Raw genomic sequence first — 20,406 nt, 5'->3', positions numbered from 1 at the left:
GCTTGAGTGCCATGGTGCAATCCTAGCTTAATGCAGCCTCAAACCCCATTATTACTCAAGTGACTCTCCTGCCTCAGCCTCCCAAGTAGCTGGGAATACAGGCACACCCCACCACGCCTGGCTAATTTTTTTATTTTATTTTTAGTAGAGATGAAGTCTCGCTATGTTGCCTGGGCTGATCTCAAACTCCTGGGCTCAAATGATCCTTCTGTCTGAGCCTCCCTTAGTGCTGGGATTACAGGCATGAGCCTTTTTAAGGCTAGTCAAGTGAAGAAGTGGGAATGGAGATGGAACAAAGAAATCCGTGACTGGTTGTGATCCATTAGTTGTAACACCACTGCACCCGGACCAGCTTAGCTGCAACGTTCTTGTAAGTATTATTTCCACAGGTTCCAACAGGATCCTTCAAGTAGGGTGTCTGGCAGCCTTAAGAGTCAAAAAGAGGTAACACAGTGGTAGTTTGAATAAGGTGACACCACAGAAGGTCCTAATGTTTAATGTTTAAGGGAATCTCTTTAAATTCTACTGTTTACAAAGATGGTTTAATTTATTGTGTTAAGTTTCAAGTTTAAGTTTTGAGCCTAGTCTATGTTATAAACAGGTTACTCTTGATTAACCACTACATTCTTTATCTTTATTCCATTTTTCACTTGCCAGAGAACCTAATGACTGATTAGTTTTTCTGATGTCTTTCTGCTTATTTTTCTCCTCCTTAATCCTGGGAGATTTTAGAATACAGAGGTTCTACAGGAATTCTAGAAAGCTGAAAATATCCTACACTGTTGTAGCTTCAAAATGGAAGAGCAAATGTTATAGGAACAGAACGGCAAAGATTTCTGGAGTATCTTCAGCGCTTGGGAGTGAAACATTAAAACAATTTTCCCAAAATCTCAAAAATCATTGAGATACAGTAATAATGTCAGCTATAACAGCAGACCAAGTTCCACCCCAACAAAATCAAAAGGTTCTCAGTTTGTCACCTCCTCTCTGCTTCTACCACTTTGAGTTCAAAAATAACATCTTTGTTTTGAAATACTAAAGTTAAAATAAAATTAACATTTCTACCACTAAACTGGCTTCTTATATTACTTTACATAATAGATTAGTAAATCATTTAAAATGTTACAGGGTAATATAACATTTATATTTTAATATATAGCCATGTTAGGTAACCACATATTTTAATATTTGCTTAAATATTCCAAAGATAGATTAAAATGTTGTCACAGCCAGTAGCATCAAGTTACTGTAGTTGAATTCTGAATTTAGTCTTTAACCTAAAATTTTATTAACATTCTGTTCCTCTGGACCTAACAGCAACTGAAAATCTGTTTCAAAAGGATTATATAAATCGGAGAGAAATAGAAAAACATACCTGTTAAAGTATGAACAAATGTGAACAGCATGCAAATCAACTTTTATCTCTAAACTTTATTTCTGATTGTGCCCCAAACAGACAAGCCAATGATTTAATACCTTGGTATTTTTTGTGCCACTAGGCAAAGTAACCTAATTCTCTTAATTCCTGGAATTGGCTGCTGTTCCAAGACTAGGAGGATTGCACTGGAAGTGGCTGTGGCATACTATAATACAATTAATATGCTACAGAGAGAAAAATAAGTTTAATTTTATTCAGCAGACAAACTAATATTTTTTTATGCCACTTGCAAACCAGGTTGTAAACAACTGGTGACTGCCCCATATTCTTTGATCTTTCACACATAGTGTACAAAATAATTCTTCTACTGATGGATTCTAAGGAGAATAAGATGAAAAGGTTACCACATTAATTTTATATATAATACACATATCTTTGTTAAAAAAAAAAGTCAATCCACCAGAGAAAACACTTGTTTCACATTAGCTAAATATATGCATTTATTATCTTCAGTAATACAAAATTCAAGATAAAAGGGAAAATCTCAAGGGGGAAATGTCATATAAATGACTCTCTCAAACTTGTCTGACACAATTACTCCCCTTCATGTTCCCTCCAGATACTCCTTACACACTGTTCCCACATCATCCATTCCTTGATCACTACCCATAATCAAAATCCATTTTTGACTTTTGCTTTTCCTCCTTTTGCTTCACTCATCAAGTATGTCTGCCTAGAGTCGTTGTTCAACATGGGGCTAAGTGCTTAAAACCAAACAACTTCCTTGGGTCTATATAATACCCTTTAACATTTGGGATCTAGAAAGGGAAGAAGTAACTACATACGTATCCATTCCTTGAGGCATTTTAATTGGTTTCTAAGCAAGGATGTTGTACAGACTCAAACTGTCACAATAAATGCTCTCTTAACAAATCTCTACATAACCCACTGACTAAAAATGACTAATGCTCTCAATTTGTTTTATAAAACATACCGATGCTACAGGATATTAAATAATCAAGAGTGGCAGGCCACACTCAAGTTCACCCATTCACTTCTGCTTCAACCAGTTGAAGTACATCCTTACCAAGTATATTCTGTATATACTCTAACGTAACATGGCAGTGCAAATATCTCCTCAAGACAGTAGTTGCATTTCCTTTGAATATACAGGCAGAAGCAGAACTGCTGGATCAGACAGTAGTTCTAGTTTTAGTTTTTTGAGGAACCTCCATACTGTTTCCTGTAACAGCTATAGCAATTTGCAATCCCACCAACAGTGTACACAGGTTCCCAATCTCCACATCTTCACCACTATTTGTTATCATTTTACTTTTTGATAATAGCCATTCTAACAACAGGTGTGAGGTGATACCTCATTGTGGTTTGATTTGCATTTCCCTGAAAAGTGATATTGAGCACCTTTTCACATATCTGTTAGTTATTTGTATGCCTTTGGAAAAATGCCTGTTCAGGTCCATTACCCCATTTTTTAATTGGGTTACTTGGTTTGCTACAAATATGTATTATGAGTTCCTTATACATTTTAGATATTAGTCCCCTATCAGATACGTGGGTTATAAATATTTTCTCTCATTCTGTAGGTTAACTTCTTTTTTTTGAGACAAGGTCTCACTCTGTCACCCAGGCTGCAGTGCAGTGGCACAATCATGGCTCACTATAGCCTTGACCTCCTGGGCTCAAGGGAATCTGCCTGCCTCAGTTTCCCCAAGTAGCTGGGACTACAGGCAAGCACCACACCTGGATAATTTTCTTTTTTTAGAGACAGGGTCTCATTACGTTGCCCAGGCTAGTTTCAAACGCCTGGGCTCAAGTCATCCTCCCTCCTTATCTTCCCATGTGCTGGCACTACAGGACTGAGCCACAGCACCCGGCCGCCTTTTTTTTTTTTTTTCAACTAAGTTTGTGATGGTGAAGAATACAATGACTACTAGTACAGACTGGTGTCACAGCACTGATTCATGCTGAGGCATCAGCAGTTTTACCCATCATGTGGTTTTCTGTTTTCATTGTTTTGGTGTTTGCTTCCACATTATCAGTACAAACACTAAAACAATGATAACAGAAAACCACATCTTACTATGATGAAAATAGTTTTGACCTTATAGGATCAACAGGTTATATTTGTGAAACACTACACTGTACTATGCTACCAACTCCTTGCATCAGGAAGTTAATTTACTTATTAAAATACCTAGCTACAATAAGGTGTTAATATTGAATGAATGAATGTTTTAACATAAGAACATTGGTAACAAGGGTAAATAAATATCAACTAACTTAGAGGCTAAAGAAAGTGATAGCATTACTATTTTAACAAATGCAGAGACAATAGATGACAAAGTCGTATCTATCTGAACATTCCCATTAACCATCTAAAAAGCTCACAAACTTTCAGTTACCAGAATAACAGAGTTTGGCTTATAACATAAATGTGGGTATCTTTTTAACGATGATTTATTTTATAAAGAATTTAATAGTTTCAGCCAAAAGTCAAAAACATTTATACAAAGAATTTTTGACCTCTTTTATAGCCATTTGGGCTATCCTGCTATGAAAAGAATTTAAAAACCGTTTTACTCCATTCAGAGAATCCAGTCAAACATTTACTGACAACCGCCATATACAGGGCACTCTATTATATGCTGTGGCGTTTACGGGAAAAGATAAAATATGATCTCTCCCTTTGGGAACTTACACATAGATCATGAAACGAGTTGAAAAACAGCTAAAACAACCTTTTAATAGCAACATATTAAACCATAATGGCCATTAAAAAAGAAATGTGATATCTAATGTCAATTCACGCATCTGGAGAAAATTCATGAAAATGGCTTAAATCAAAGAAAACAGAAATTTAATTCAAATAAATGTTCACAAAAATGTGGCCTTACTAACGAAAAAGGGAAACAAACTCAAACCATAACTTAAACCAAAGAAATCTATCAAGAAATCTAAGAATGAAACCTATCTGATCCCAATGTTTAGCTTACTGAGATTTTTGGCAAAAGCAAAAATAAAAAATAACAGCTAACACACATGAACTAACATGGCCAAGCTGCCAAAAAGGAGAGTGTAAGCATAGGAACGCTGGGGTCACTTTGCTACAGATGGATGGTAGACCAGGTGGTGATATCCTTGACAGGTCAGGAACTCTAGTCTTATTTACCTTTGTAGGTTTATCTAGTGCTTAACAAGAAAAACACTCAATAAATATTTATGAAGTGATGAGGCATCTACAATGCACAACAGAGAGGGCCAAAACAGAATGTTCCTTGTACTCACACCCTTAACCATTACCGGCTGCTAAGATATCTGTACTACTTAAAGAGAACAAAGGCTTAGTGTATTTTAGGTAAGATGAATAGGACTCTGAAATTTGGAGACATTTACAAGGCTATTATCTGAGAACAAGAAACTTTCAAAATTAAAGAACTCTGTAAGATTCAATTTCTCAGAACACCAATGGCCAGTTTACGAAGATTGAATGTTCTTAGTCAACAGCATGAGATATCTAATCACTGGACTTAAATGTAAAAGTATTTATATGAAAGAATTATTTTAAAGAAAGAATTAGAATTCAAAACCATTTACTAGAATATATTTAATTAAAAAATTATTGTCAAATGTAATATTAAAAGCACAACTACTACATATTAATAATATCAATTTGGTTGACTTGGTTATTACTAAGTGAATTATTTAAATGTCATCTTAATTGCCGTTTTTTTTTTTTGAGACGGAGTCTCGCTCTGTCACCAGGCTGGATGGAGTGCAGTGGTGGCTCACTGAAACCTCTGCCTCCCGGGTTCACACCATTCTCCCGCCTCAGCCTCCCGAGTAGCCGGGACTACGTGCGCCCACCACCACGCCCGGCTAATTTTTTTGTATTTTTAGTAGAGACAGGGTTTCACTGTGTTAGCCAGGATGGTCTCGATCTCCTGACCTCATGATCCGCCCGCCTTGGCCTCCCAAAGTGCTGGGATTACAGGTGTGAGCCACTACACCCCGCCCGCCATCTTTAAATGTCTTCCAATAACCAGTGTAGCCAGAACACCCACAAATGTGGAAACAGAATATTAAATGCAATGAGGTTTGTCTTCAAATTATGTAAATTTCATGTTTTCCAAAATCCAAACATATTGCACTGATTTTCTAAAACATCTAAATTCTCTATACTTTAATAAAAATCTGAAGAAGTTAAAAGTCAAAATGCATTAAGATGATTTTACTAAATATTATCATCATTCACTTTCACTTTTAAACAATCCAACTGAGATCAGGACTCTCTAATTAACGACCGGGTGCAGTGGCTCACACCTGTAATCCCAGCATTGGGGAGGCAGAGGCAGATAGATGGCTTGAGCCTAGGAGTTCAAGACAAGCCTGGGCAACATGGCAAAACCTCGTCCCTATTTAAAAAAAAAACAAAAAACAGAAAAATCACCCAGGCATGGTGGTGTGCACCCTTAGTCCCAGCCTCTTGGGGGATAAGGTGAGAGGATTTCTTAAGCCCAGGAGGTCGGGGCTATAGTGAGCTGTGATGGCACCCCTGCACTCCAACCTAGGTGACGAAGTGACACTGTCTCAAAAAAAGCCAACAAAAAAGAATCTCTAATTAACTGATAGAGTAAATGCAATTAATGACACAGAATTCTAAACAAGCTTATATTTATACAATATTCTTGCCTACATGACACCTTGATATTCAAACAGTTCATCTCTCAAAATGGGTTAGCAATAATACAGTCAATGCAAGATGGTGGTTAAGTTCATCACATGCATTATTTCATTTCATACTCACAAACCCCAAGGTAAGCACTGTTATTTTCATTACAGGTAATAAAGAAGGAAAGAAGAGTTGACACCCCTCCACTCTCAAGAGTAATCAAGATCCCCAAAGAGCCAGGCGGAGTGGCTCATCCTGTAATTCCAGCTACTTTGGGAGGCTGAGGCGGGAGGACACTTGAGGCCAGGAGTTCTAGACCAGCCTGGGCAACAGAGTGAGACCTCATCTCTACAAAAAATCAAAAAATTAGTTGGGCATGATGGTGCATGCCTGTGGTCTCATCTACTTGGGAGGCTGAGGTGTGAGGATCACTTAGAACTTGAAGATTGAGGCTGCAATGAACCGTGATTGTACCACTGCACTCTAGCCTGGATGACAGAGCAAGACCTTGTCTCCAAAAGCAAACAAAAATTACCTATGATTTGACTCAATCCATTGAGTCAAACTATATTAAGACAAACACTGAGCACCCAGATTTTGGTTTCTAATATCATTCTCCAATTAAAGAAACCAGGACTCCTTTCAGAAATAGCTGATTCTAGGTCTGGGGAAAGAAAGAAACAAGATGAGCGGTAGCATCTTGCAGTGCCAGGAAGTAACGAAGTGCTTTAAAAAAGAAAAGAAACACTGATGACCAATATTATTGCTCCACTATCTGATGTTTAAAAAAAAAAGAAAGAAAGAAAGAAAGGCCAGGTGCAGTGGCTCATACCTTAATCCCAACATTTTGGGAGGCCGAGGCAGGAGAATCACTTGAGCTTAGGAGTTCGAGACCAGCCTGGGAAACAGAGTGAACCCTGACCCTAAAAAATAACCACAAATAATAACAACAGGCAGGGTGTGGTGGCTCACACCTGTAATCCCAGCACTTTGGTAGGCTGAGACTGGCGGATCACCTGAGGTTGGGAGTTCGAGACCAGCCTGGCCAACATGGTGAAACCCTGTGTCTACTAAAAATACCAAAATTAGCCAGGCATGGTGGCGGGCACCTATGATCCCAGCTACTTGGGAGGCTGAGGCAGGAGAATTGCTTGAACCTGGGAGGCGGAGGTTGCAGTGAACCGAGATCACACCAGTGCACTCCAGCCTGGGCAAAAGAGCAAGACTCCATCTCTAAATCAATCAATCAATCAATCAATCAATAATAATAGTAAATAAAAATAAAATTTTAAAAAATAAAATTAAGGAAAAAAGATAGGAGTATATTAAAGAAACATAGGAGCCAACTGAAAGCACTCCCAAAGGTCAAAGCTAGAACAATTTAAGCAACACAATAAAGTACTATTAAATTATAACCCAAAATGTAAAGTAAATATCCACAAGTTGATACAAATAAGAATGAATGAATGGGCAAGAACAGACAAATCACCCATAGGAAGAATTCCAAATAATTTTTATAGATATTTCACCCTCAAGAAGGTAGAGCATAACACTCTCTTCCTTAAGTATGGGCTGTGTATAGTGACTTCCTTCCAAAGAATACTGTTTGGGAAGAAGGGGGGAAAAAAGAATACCTTCACAGTAGAGAAACCAGACAAACACGACCTCAGCAAGGTAATCAAGGCTAACATCAATGACAAATCATGCTGATAGCATTTTATACTTGATGTGATAAGAATGCTACTTTATTTCTGTCTTCCTCCCAAAACCCATACATGCAGTCTAATGATAATAAAAACATCAAACAAATCCTAATTTGGGGACATTCTATAAAATACCTAACATTCCTCAAAACTGACATGGTCATCAAAAAAAAGGAAAGTCTGAGAAACTGCCACAGCCAAGAGAAGCCTAAGGAGACATGACAACTAAATGTAATGTGGTGTCCTGAACAGGATCCTAGAAAAGAAAAAGAACATTAGGTAAAAACTAAAGAAATCTGAATAATGTATGGACTTTAGTTAATAAGTCGTTAATATTGATGCATTAATTTTGACAAATGTAGCCAATTAATATAAGATGCTACTAATGGGAAAAACTGAATACAGGGCACATGACAACTCCCTGCACTATCTTTGCAATTTTTCTGTAAACCAATTTTTCTAAAATTAAAAAAAAAAACAAAAAACAGCAAACAAAACACAAATGAAGAAAGGGGGAAGTTCAAGTTTATTTTCCTACCTAATTCAAAGCAAGTTATTTAATTTTCTATAGCTATTTGGAAATCTTTCTTTAGAGCACTCCAGGGAGAGAAATTCTTTCAATCTCTTTCTACTACATACTACCATTACTGTTAGTCTGCCCTTACTGAAGCCCAGGTTGCCAGATCAGATTAGAAAACTGTTGGTCTCAATTCATTTTTTTAAAAGGAGGAAGATTTATGAGACTTTTTACTTTGTGTGAGGAAATACAATGCCAAAATAAAGAACTGCTAATGTAGCACTGAGCTACCAGAAAGTATACTAAGAAACAACCCACAGGATCTAAGTTTACATTCAGAGCTCAAAAAAGCCTCAACATCATCTTAGAGTCGAAGAAAAAAGATTTTTTTTTTCTTTGAGATGGAGTCTCACCCTGTTGTCCAGGCTGGAGTGCAGTGGCACAATCTCGGCTCACTGCAACCTCCGCCTCCCAGGTTCAAGTGATTCTCCTGCCCCAGGCTCCCAAGTAGCTGAGATTACAGGTGTGCACCACCACGTCAGGCTAATTTTTGTATTTTTAGTAGAAACAGGGTTTCACCATGTTTGCCAGGCTGGTCTCAAGCTCCTGACCTCAGGTGATCCACCTGCCTCAGGCTCCCAAAGTGCTGGAATTACAGGCGTGAGCCACCACACCCAGCCAGAAAAAGAATTTGTTACAGATTTAACATATGAAGATGATTTTATAATTGTTCATACAACCTAAGTAGCTAAGTCAAAAAGTAAAATAAAAGCTACCCTTTCCAGTGTCAGCTTTAATGTCTAAAAAACTCAAAGTAAAATGAAGTATACAGAATGATCGTTTTATATACAGAAAAGGTTTACTCTCACTGAGAAAGACTTGAAGGATTCTAGCAATTTCTTTCTGACTTCAAATGGAAAAAAGAAATAGATAAATCGGTCGGGCACGGTGGCTCACGCCTGTAATCCCAGCACTTTGGGAGGCCGAGGCGGGTGGATCACGAGGTCAGGAGATCGAGACTATCCTGGCTAACACGGTGAAACCCCGTCTCTGCTAAAAATACAAAAAAAATTAGCCGGGCGTGGTGGCAGGCGCCTGTAGTCCCAGCTACTCGGGAGGCTTAGGCAGGAGAATGGCGTAAACCCGGGAGGCGGAGCTTGCAGTGAGCTGAGATGGCTCCACTGCACTCCAGCCAGAGCAACAGAGCAAGACTCCGTCTCAAAAAAAAAAAAAAAACAAAAAAACCCCACAGAAATAGAAAAGTTATATCTCTATAAATTCCAATGCTACAGAGATTCACAGAAAACACCTGCTCAGAAAAACTGTAACTTTCTAACCTGGAAAAATATCTTCTCAAGCACAGCATATTTTGTAATATTTTACATTATTTATTACAATATTCTGTAATTTTAAAAACTCATAAAACAAACTTCATAGACATTAATTATTACTCATTAAATATGAGCTTTATAGTGTTTGTTATTGTTAAAAAACTTAAGAGGACATTTTGGCTGAACCCTTCTTTCCATGCTACACCCCTCTAGAAAAGATTTACATTTATATGTGATGCAATGCCTTCTGGGTGTTATTTTAATGTGTGATGCAAAAATATGCTTTTCTGTTCCTGTACTGAGACATAGCTGTTTCTGGCTCACATTTATTATGTGCCCTCTTCTGTGATACAATCTGACTGACCTGCAGAATACATCAAGGGCAATCACTGTCACCATAGAAAAGAACAATGGGTTAAAACAATATCCTTAGAGCAGAACTGGAATTACTATTTAAATGAAATTTCAGATTTAATATATCCAAACACTTTAAGTTAAATGCAAAAATTATGTGCTTCCACATATATATAGTTAGAGCTGATTTTGTTTACTGGTCCTCAAAATATTTGGAACCTTGTTTGACTTTCTATATTAAACCTTACGGATTCAACATCTAGAAGATCAATGAGAAAGTAAAATACTGTGGTGTACAGGTGTCCTAAAGCTCTTGTCTGTTCCTATTCCTTTCCTCTCTAACTCCCTTCTCCAACCTGATTAAAAACCTAAAAAGAGCCCAACAGAGAATCCCATGGCCACATACTGAGCATCATTGTAGTCCTAGTGATCCTCCTTTCCTTAGGAGCATTCATTTCTAAAACCTTAATGACACTCTGTCACATTCTTGTGAAAAGGAGATGAAAAACTGCCATTAAAGGCTGTGTTCATTATAATCAGTGACTTCTTAAAAATGTTTGCGTCAAGCAGTGATGTATCTTTGGGATTTCTTTCAGAGTTTGACTCTTTTAGCAGCGTCTTGATTTTTCAGGGAATTTCTGTGCACAGGAAATGAGAAATGCTTGTAATTGCTCAAAACAAAAGAGAACATGGCAACACTGCATTTATGTGTTTCCCATTTTTATTTAAAGTCTGTCAAAGCAACTTACATAGACTTTTATATAAAGGCAAGCTGACACATGAACTATTAAGAACCTCAAACAGTAATAAAATATTATCCTAAAGTAGCATATATTACATGCGAAACACTATAATAAGAATCTACAGATGAACTAGAATCATTCTATTCTATGTATAATGTGAGCAAATGTCACCTAATTTTCTCTCTGTAATCAAAATAGTCTTTTTCCCCAGTAAGAATAGTAATTCCTAGGAATTCCTCATCTTAAAAGCCTGGAGAGACTTCAAAAAATGTCTAAGGAATTGAAAGCCATGATCTAATTCTTACTTTGATCAGTTTTGTTTGTTGGGGACAGGGGGGTATTTTTTTCTGCTAAAAAAAAATAAGTGGGAAAGGAAAATATTGTTCAGTGATGTTCCCCCAAAAGTGTACAATGTTTGGGATATTCAATACAGATATTCTTAAATCTATCGTGATGAATTCACCCAATGTGAAGCCCAAATTTCTTTGGAAACACCGAACTATAAATTAAAGAGTACTTATTTATTCCTTATGAGTTTCTCCCAATTTATGGAACAAAATTCTATACCATACTGTACAAGATAATCTATGTTTAATTAACTTTAATGAAATTAAGCTATTACAAAACTATAAGCAGAAATTAACATTGGGACCACAGAAGTAATCAATTACACAAAAGCTTTGACTACTGTATAGGACACTATAGAGTAGGTTGTAACACAAACCACTTTAACGGGTCTAGTTTATGTTCAGAATGTATTTAGAACTTTTACCCTCTATTTAATAAACTCACAGTTCATTACCATTTAAAATCAAACAAACTGTGCCCATTCAGCAGCACTGCCACCAACTTAACTCCTAAATAGTGGTAACTGACAGTGAACTCTCCACTACCTTGCTGAATTGCCTTACCTCCTGAAAAAAATTTGCTACTTACATTTCTAGGCCACCTACTTTCTGCCACCAATTAGAATGTAGTTTAGACAGTGCAAAGTAACATGAAATGAGCCTAAGCCTTTGTTTCTCAAACTTAGAAAATATATAAACCCCTTAAAAAAAAAGTTCTCTTGAACATCATATCTGTCCAAAAATCCCAATGAGAAACACTGACTTAAGAAACTGAAGTCTCATCCTATAACAAATGTCTTTCATCTATGAGTTATCACTGCAAAGTGTTACCTTTATAACAGGTACGATCACTTTTTAACATCAAAATAAAAATACAAATTTAAGAAATAATTTAAGAACTAAAAAACCTTTCCCTACAAATGGACCCTAGGAGAATGAGGAACTCAGTCTAAGAAAAACCGACCTAATTCAAAATAGAATTTTAAAAGTCTGTTGTTCCTCTAAACATGATATATCCTTATCTCCCCTGACACACACCTCTACCCCTCATGAAAGCAGTATCTTTCCTCTCCTGCACCCCATGACTCTATTATGCCACTCACCTCTTACCTCTTCTATTAAGCCATAGGATCCGTGGGGTCAGGGTCTATACCTGATTCATCTTTGTAAGTACCAGCACATCTTGCACAGTGATTCACAAAAGGCCCTAGTTATTGTTGGCTAAATGAATACATATCAAATATATATTTTTGGCTATTATTTGCTGTCTCTGATTATCTATGCCTTTGTTCCCAATCAGTATCACAGAAAACCAAAAGCTTACAAATCTTTCAATTCAATGTCTACAATATACCTATAAAGTTAAAACAACAATAATACTGACAGATGCAAGTATAGATTCTTTTTTCTTCCTCAACATGAAAAAACAATTACTGACAGGATACCAGGTAAAAGTCAGCAAAAAATACAGGAATAGACATCATTATCACCAGTGCTCTTACAGAGCATCTTTATAAAATGGAGGCAAAAACTCCCTTTCAATCAACCTCCAATATGTTATAATGTAGATTTTTTTAAAAATGCAATGCTAATAAAAATTAGTTGATAAGTATTTTTCATTCAAAAGCCACAAATGTTTGATCTGCATTAAAAAGCTATTAAAAAATCAATTCTAACTTACAATTTACTCAAATACCAGTGGTTTCTTAGATGCTAATAATAAAGCACTATATGAGCTATTACTTTTATTCCTAATATGATTGACATATCTTTTATGAAAGAAAGTCATGTGCACTGCAGGAAATTTAAAAGCCCAAAATGTTAAAGCTCTGAATATAAAATTTAACTAGCAGACTGACTGAAATACTAGATCTCTATTTTTATTCTATTCACTCTTCACTCACCTTCCATTTATTTTCTTGGGATTTGTTTTTTCCCCCCACTCTTATTTTTAATTTTATGGAATAATAAGATACACCCACCTATAGCTCTACATCAGCCAATATTAGACACTTTCAAAACAGCTTGCTTGCTTTATCTCTCTTTCTGTATTTGCTAGGTATTACCTGGTTAGACAGAAAAACAAAGCATTAAATGAAAGTGGTTTTTATGGGACAAAATGTTTTTCCATTACATTACAATGTCTATTATCCTAGTGGTCTTAAAATGAAACTATATTATATTCCTAAACTTCCCTTCAACTGTTTTTGAAGTAGCATAATTTGGAGGTGTTTGGGTAGAAATTATCGGGGCTAACTTTTTAATATTGCAATTATTTATTAAATTGATATATATAATTCAATTGTTTACAACAGTTACTATCATATGAAAGATACTATAGAAACAGAAGTCCTAATGAATTATCTTTGGGATAGCCTGGTCTTCACCTATACTTACTACTGTTATTTGAATGTTAATTTCTGGACCTACTCTATTAGATAGCTAAAGTTAATTAATTCAACTTTAAGTTAAGAGAGAAGATACAAATAGTTGATGTTATTCCCTATGTTTTTAAAATATAAGGTCAATCAATATAAGTACCCACAAATTTTAAATTATTTAAATTATATGAGCATCTGACACTGAGGCAGATTTTCAACTTAACATCTATTTACTTCTTTCAGCTTCCACTGAAGTCAAACACCAAGTAATGAGAAGAGAAACAAAATTTTTAAATCTGTCCTTATCATATTACAAGCACATTAAAGACTTCTCTCTTATTTTCCAAAGAGCTTGAGAAAATGTTGAGCAGCAAAAACTGCATTATTCTCTCAAAAGAAACTACTTTCCTTTTTGATAAACAGTAAACCACATGAGGAAGTTACCACTGAATTACTTCCTGTTACTTGAAAATGTTCTAACTAATACAGCTACCACACGTTTTTAGTTTTTAAAACGAGGGTGGGATAAGTAAAGGGAGGCTTAATTATTAGACAATAATAAAGCAGGCCTAATTTACCATATGGCCAAGACAGCCATTTTTCATTTGGAGGATCTAAGTCCTTTTCAAATTATAATGAAAGAAAAATGTAGAACAATCAAACATGCAGACTTTGTAGAAAAGTGTTTCCTCAGAAAATTGGATACACAAATATCAGAAAGCAAGGGCCATCCATTCATTATGCCTGAAACCAAAGGAGGAAAAAAGCCTACATACAGAATCTGTAAGCTTCATAACTATTGGGATCGTCAAATTTTTAATATTCAATTCCATAATAAATTATTCTAGGTACCAAAAAACTACAGCAGTAAGCAAAGGACTTAATACAATGATATAATCTAAATAAGGTAAATAAGGTACACCAAAAACTCTGAGATAAATGAAGCAACTCTCGAAGAATGAGTTAAAATAGTAATCGCACTTGCTTAAATTAGTATTTATCATTTCTAATGTTTAAAATAAATAAAATACCAAGTCTGAATCAGCCTACAGGTATATTCACTTAAAGATGAATGAATGTGAAAATGTGTGTTCTACACACTTCAACAAGATATAAGACCTACTGTCCAAGATAATTATCCACTAGCAAAATAATTCCTATTTTAATTTTGGGTTATATTCCTTGCTTTTAACAGATCAGCATCTCCAATTCAATTTATAGGAACAATTTTTGTTCAAAATTTAACTGAGGCATCTCAATCTATTAAACGAGGAATATTACTCAATTGAACACTGATTTTAATAAGAATTTTTTTAAGTTAAGGATCTAAAGCAACTACCAATCTAATAAGTAGTTTTAAAAGTTGGGTATGCTCCTATTTTCTGAACTCAAGCAAGTTTGCATTTTTACTTATTTATAATAGCATAAAGAATCAACTTTTAGGCTGCCTCCTTTTCAATTAAGGCTTGTTTACACCTGACAACTATCTTTATCCCAGAACTCTAATGTTCTGCTTTTAATAGCTCAATCTATGTTTCTATCCTAGAAACTGAAAAGGTTTTTTAATTTTGGAGCTTTTTGGTATGTGCCCCTTCTGAACGATAATTACATATTCACAGCAAACTAAATACAATCTTAAGAAGTATGTACAAGAATCTGAAGTAGACTTCTAGAAACATAAAAGTATTATTTGATATAATAAAGACAGTCTGTTTTTCAGATTAAAAAAATACAACAGGAAAAGGAAAATTTTAAACAATTTACTTAATTTTGCCAATTTTCAACATGGTCCCTTTTTTAATCAAGGTCTACATATTTGAAAAGTTGACTATTAAAATTCTTAATGAATTTAAAAGTACTGCTGTTAAAACTTCCCTTTAGCCCATTCAGCCCCTTAACTAATCAAACAAAGAAACAAATATTACAAGACGAAGGCTGACAAAAAATCATAATGAACCTCTCAGATGAGAAACTAATTGGTACTAAGTACACAATGGCTTACATTTAATCCTGTTAATAACCACACAAAAAAAGAAATGAAAGACTCACTTTTCAGTCATCTCTCTGGACCACTGGGCTAAAATAACAGCATGACTAAATCTGACATTGACCCCGTGGCCCTGCTAGGAGTTAAAAGAATTCCTTTGAGTCTTCTGAGGCCTGTTTTCAACTGCTCCAGAAGGGGTGGGCTAGGCATACACACTTGTTAGCCTTCTTTACAGTAACAGGTCAAATTAGAAATGGTCATATACACTGTAATATACACTAGCTCTTACTTTAGACTTGAAGTCTGTACCTTACAACAAAAGTACAAGAAAGAACAATAAAATAGTAACACCTGGATGATAGAATGTCATAGATGGATCATATATAACTGGAAAGGTGAGAACGTATCAAGGCAGTAACACATTCCTGAAAGGAAATTTATAAAACAATAAGAATATTATCTAAATCAACAAGACTGAAATTGAGACAAAGTACCAAGATGGATCACTAAACTTTAAAAAAGAAAAATATCATGTATAAATTTTTCTAGATTTATCACAAAAGAGTTTTCAGCAAGCTTACTAAATTAAAATACATTAAATTATTTTGTGAAGTTTTGCAAGCTTTTGTGACATGAACCCACAAATAACATATGATGTTAGGATGATATAAATCTGCCTGAAAGCAGTTACTTGTTCCCTTTCATCCCTTTTCAAAATACAACTTATGATTTTCAACAAAGAAGATATTAGCATTCACACCTTCCTCTGTAACTAGTGATTGAAAATAATTATGGATATGGATTTACTATACTTGACCAGATTTCTCTCATTCTTGTATTAGTACTTTTAAATTAAGTATATTTTCTTAAATAAAATAAAATGCTAGGCCTTACTCTTATTTCACAAAGTCTAATCACTGAAAATGTAAGTAAGCCAATCACTAGCATATTTTATGTATTTCCCTTAAGTTCTTTCAATTTAAAGTATGGCTCCCGTTAATTTACGTCAACATTTAAAATTAAAAAGTCTAAATTTTCTGAATACTGAAAGCCAACAGATGTCCTTACAAGAAATAAAATTATTACACACCAAGGATATTTTAATTCTAAACTGTCTGCCGCAAAATATCAAAATTAATTTCACATAATTTAATTTCTGTACTCATAATCCTTTTATAATTTTTAGTTTACATATTAATAAAATCAAAATATCATAATCAAAAAATTACTTCACTGAACACATAACTTAATTGAACATTAGCAATCAGCCTCGAGGCACTCTTTTCTTAATTTGTAAGGGCTTAAATTTAGGATAAAAATAAGAGTTAAAATTTTAATATTTATCATAACAAAATTTTGTGAAATCTGTCAAATTTGAAGTAATCTCTTAGAAAAAAAGAGTTCAAGCACTCTACGTTTTGAAAATCTGTAATGGCATAGATATTTCCACCTGTTAGGTGGCGGCATTTTGGGTAGGGGGTTTTCTTTCCCAATTCTCATTCTGTTCTCACCTCCTATTTTCTTTCATACACAGAATATTATTTTTCAGGAACTACGAACTATCTACTAGAACACCGAGACATAAAGGCAATCAGCAATATGAGAATTACAAAATATTTCACAAACAAATCCCAATTTAAAACTCTAATGCAGAGCCTACTTTTCTGAACAGAAAACGCTAAAGCTAAAACAGTTTCCACGCAACACAATGTAATTTTACCATCATTGGCTTACCTTCATAGCATTTTTTGGCCTAAAAAAATCATGAATAAAAGTATTTCGATCATACTTCAATAGTTACCATACAGGTTTAGCCATTCAGTTTTAAAAGAATCTTCCACCCACTGCCAAAAGAAAAAAGGAAGAGGAAGAACAAAAAAGAAATCCTACAAAACGAGAGTTTCAAATAAAGACTGGAAAAGGCATCAAGCAATCATGACCTTTAAAAAAAAAATTGTCTGACAATTGTCTGTGAAGTTTTTTTAACAGCATAAAAGCACTTCACCAGTTTCTTCTTTCCTTAATAAATTTCAAGTTCGGCTCTACAGTGTTCTCCTAGTAAGGCCACACACAATAAAACCCAGGCACTGAGCTTTAAGAATTAATAACATTTTCCACGAACATTTGCTAGTAAAACATGCTAACAGAATTAATTCCTTGTTATTTTTAAAGCTGTATACTTCTGTTGGACCACTTTTATATCACAGGTTATACCTTGATTTGATGTGCTGAATACTAGAAATATATTTTAGGTTATTCAAGTTTCTCAATAATTACATATGAATATCAATTATAAAATTACAATACACCTTTTAAAATACTTTAAAAGGAGGAATAGTTTTACAAACTCATGAAGCCTATATAACTATAATCAAAGACTAGAAATTCAAAAGATTATTTTAATTGGCATGGACAAACAACAGCTAATTAGACTATCAGGATACATTTTCTTCTTAGTTTGAAACTCACTGATTTAAAAGAAATTGCTTTTTGAGAAGTCATTTGATAGAAATCAAAATGTGAAGCACAGTAACTAGAAAATAATAGCAAAAATAAAGAAAACAAAATTCAATGATGCTATTTATTTCTTGGTAATTACAAATTCTATAAATCAGTTTCATATTCTAAGAGCACTACATCCACAAGAAAAAACCTGTAATTAACAGACACAGAAAGAAGGCTTGCCCTTACCCCAATTCCCAAAGTCCTTAACAGATATGCAGAAAGAGCATTTTAGACACCTCACAACCATGAGGTACAATCAAAGGAAAAAAATCTAAAATTATTAATTATCAAAATTACTCTTTTCCCTATGTATCAACATTACAAGGTTTTTTTTAGCCTATTTACAGTATATCATAACATCATTTTTCCTGATTAGGAAATTATTAGAATTTTTTAAATGGTAAAAAGGATCTCTTTATTATTTTATGTTAATTTAGCAAATACAAAATTCAGTTAAATGTTACTGTATGACACCAGCCTCACAAAACAACTGTAAAACAGAAGTAGCTTTGATCACAATAATTTGATATTTTAAAGCCTGTGAATATTAATGAAAAAATATTTTGGGGAGATGTTGGGAACAGAGACCTCTACTTTTGACTTCTAACAATAACTAAATTGCCATAGCACTTCAAGGACTTAAATTCAGCAGTACAAAGTTATGTTATAAAACAAAATTCCTCACATTTGAAAGTATGCAAGTTTTGCCAAGAAAAAGCAAACTCTTAAGATCTGGTCAAAGTAAAAATGTGTCCACCGTCAAAGGCATGTTCATATGCTTATTTGAATATATACACACTGTGGACCACAAAATTGAATGTAAGAGAAATCACATTATCAGATTACAACAGATTTCTTGTAAACAACTACTTAATATACAATAATATTTAAATTAAAGATTTATAACAGTACCACTTACTGTTAATTAGTATTTCTAGTATTAACTTGGTTACACTATAAAATAACATTTTTATTCCAACAGTAAAGTGACCATGAATACAAATTTTCAGGATTAATAATTTCCCATCAATTTCATGCATAACACTAACATATCTTTTCAGCTTCTCAATGGCTCAAAAATTAAATTGCTTCTGTTATTAAGAAAACAAAACCAAGAACAAAATTAGTTTTCCCCTGCTAGTCCCCATGGATCTAAGTACCACACAATAATTCTTTCCAATCTGCAAAACAAAGAACACACAAATAGATGGGCTAAGGAAGAAAGATCAAAACAAAGAAACAAATTTAAAAAAAAAAATTCCCCTTTTTCTTTAGCAATCAACAAAATAACAAAAAAGAAAAAGTGGAAAAGTCACCAAGAATATATGACCATGTAAGCATGGGCACTCTTGCAGAAAACCAAGTCTGCAACCGAAAGCCATGGGAAATTTAAATTAGAGCAAACGGCCACAATAGGCAGAGAATCTGTATGGATAAAAAGGGACTGCTGAGGTTGCAGGTATACTACTAAAGATCTTTTGAGATTTCCAAACAAATTTTATTAGTTTTAATAAATTCTAAAAATAAGAAATAAGTATGCGCATTATACTATAAGCATTAAATTTTTTTCCTTTTAATCAAAATACACATGTATGTGATATATCTAAAAGAAGAGGAAGAAAAGATTCTCTTTGCTTAATACTGCTTTAGAAATTTGCTTCACAAACCTATCTCCTTCTATGTTTAAATAATCTTAACGGAATTTAAAAATTTAACACAATGAAGGCCCTTCACTGCTGATGTTAACCTAACTGGTGGCACAATCACAGAGTTGAATTGCAATCGACTTGAACTCCTCTGACTACCGGGTACATAATTATACACCAAAGTCAGTTTAACTAACCAACATGGTTTGAAAATTAGATGACCTGTGGTACAACACTTACGTTTCTTCTGTTAGATCTGATAATAAAACCTCCCAAACTGAATCATCTCAAACAGAAAAATAAAGGGATTAATACAACTTTAAAATGTCATGGCATCAAGAACACAAATATTCCACAACCAAGTAAGTACCTGATGGATCTCTACCACTCACCTATCCAGAAACTTTTAAATTGAATATTTTGAATGTTTAAAAGTATTTCATACACAGAAGAACCAATAATACCAGGCTAAAATATGATTATACAACACATTTACAGCAATATTTAAGTTATATTTATTCTCCCACAAAATTTGTATCATTTTTTAAGCAAACCAAAAGGGCTGAGGTGTTGAATGAAGAGCAAAATACTCAATTATATGGGAGTAAGGATGTCTTTCAAGTTCTTATCAGAACAACGAATTTTTATTAGCTATTAAAATCCTCCTTAAAAGTAGGAAGTAATGCTATTTCTAAATAAAACCATTGACAAAAGTTCATTTGTGTTAAATCAGACCATTTAATACTAAAAACTGGCTAGTACAGGATTAAGGACTAACTTACAGGATTGATTGTGGTTGCACATCTTCTCTTTAAAGAAAATCT

General features: G+C 34.3%; 1 protein-coding gene across 18 annotated transcripts in view, besides 1 other annotated feature; it reads right to left on the bottom strand.

The window, feature by feature from the left end:
- ZCCHC7 (zinc finger CCHC-type containing 7) overlaps positions 1-20,406 on the bottom strand; it is a 237,983-nt gene that overhangs the window by 197,659 nt on the left and 19,918 nt on the right. The window lies entirely within an intron of this gene.
- Positions 10,217-10,718: an enhancer, noted in NCBI's record as "NANOG hESC enhancer chr9:37149770-37150271 (GRCh37/hg19 assembly coordinates)". NCBI's record gives its function as "activates a minimal SCP1, AML or CMV promoter by ChIP-STARR-seq in naive H9 embryonic stem cells {active_cell/tissue: H9 hESC(naive)}" and the evidence as "EXISTENCE:reporter gene assay evidence [ECO:0000049][PMID:30033119]".

This window comes from Homo sapiens, chromosome 9, assembly GCF_000001405.40.
Source record: "Homo sapiens chromosome 9, GRCh38.p14 Primary Assembly".
In the NCBI taxonomy this organism is placed as follows: Eukaryota; Metazoa; Chordata; class Mammalia; order Primates; family Hominidae; genus Homo; species Homo sapiens.
This window is presented reverse-complemented; position numbering and strand designations above follow the sequence as displayed.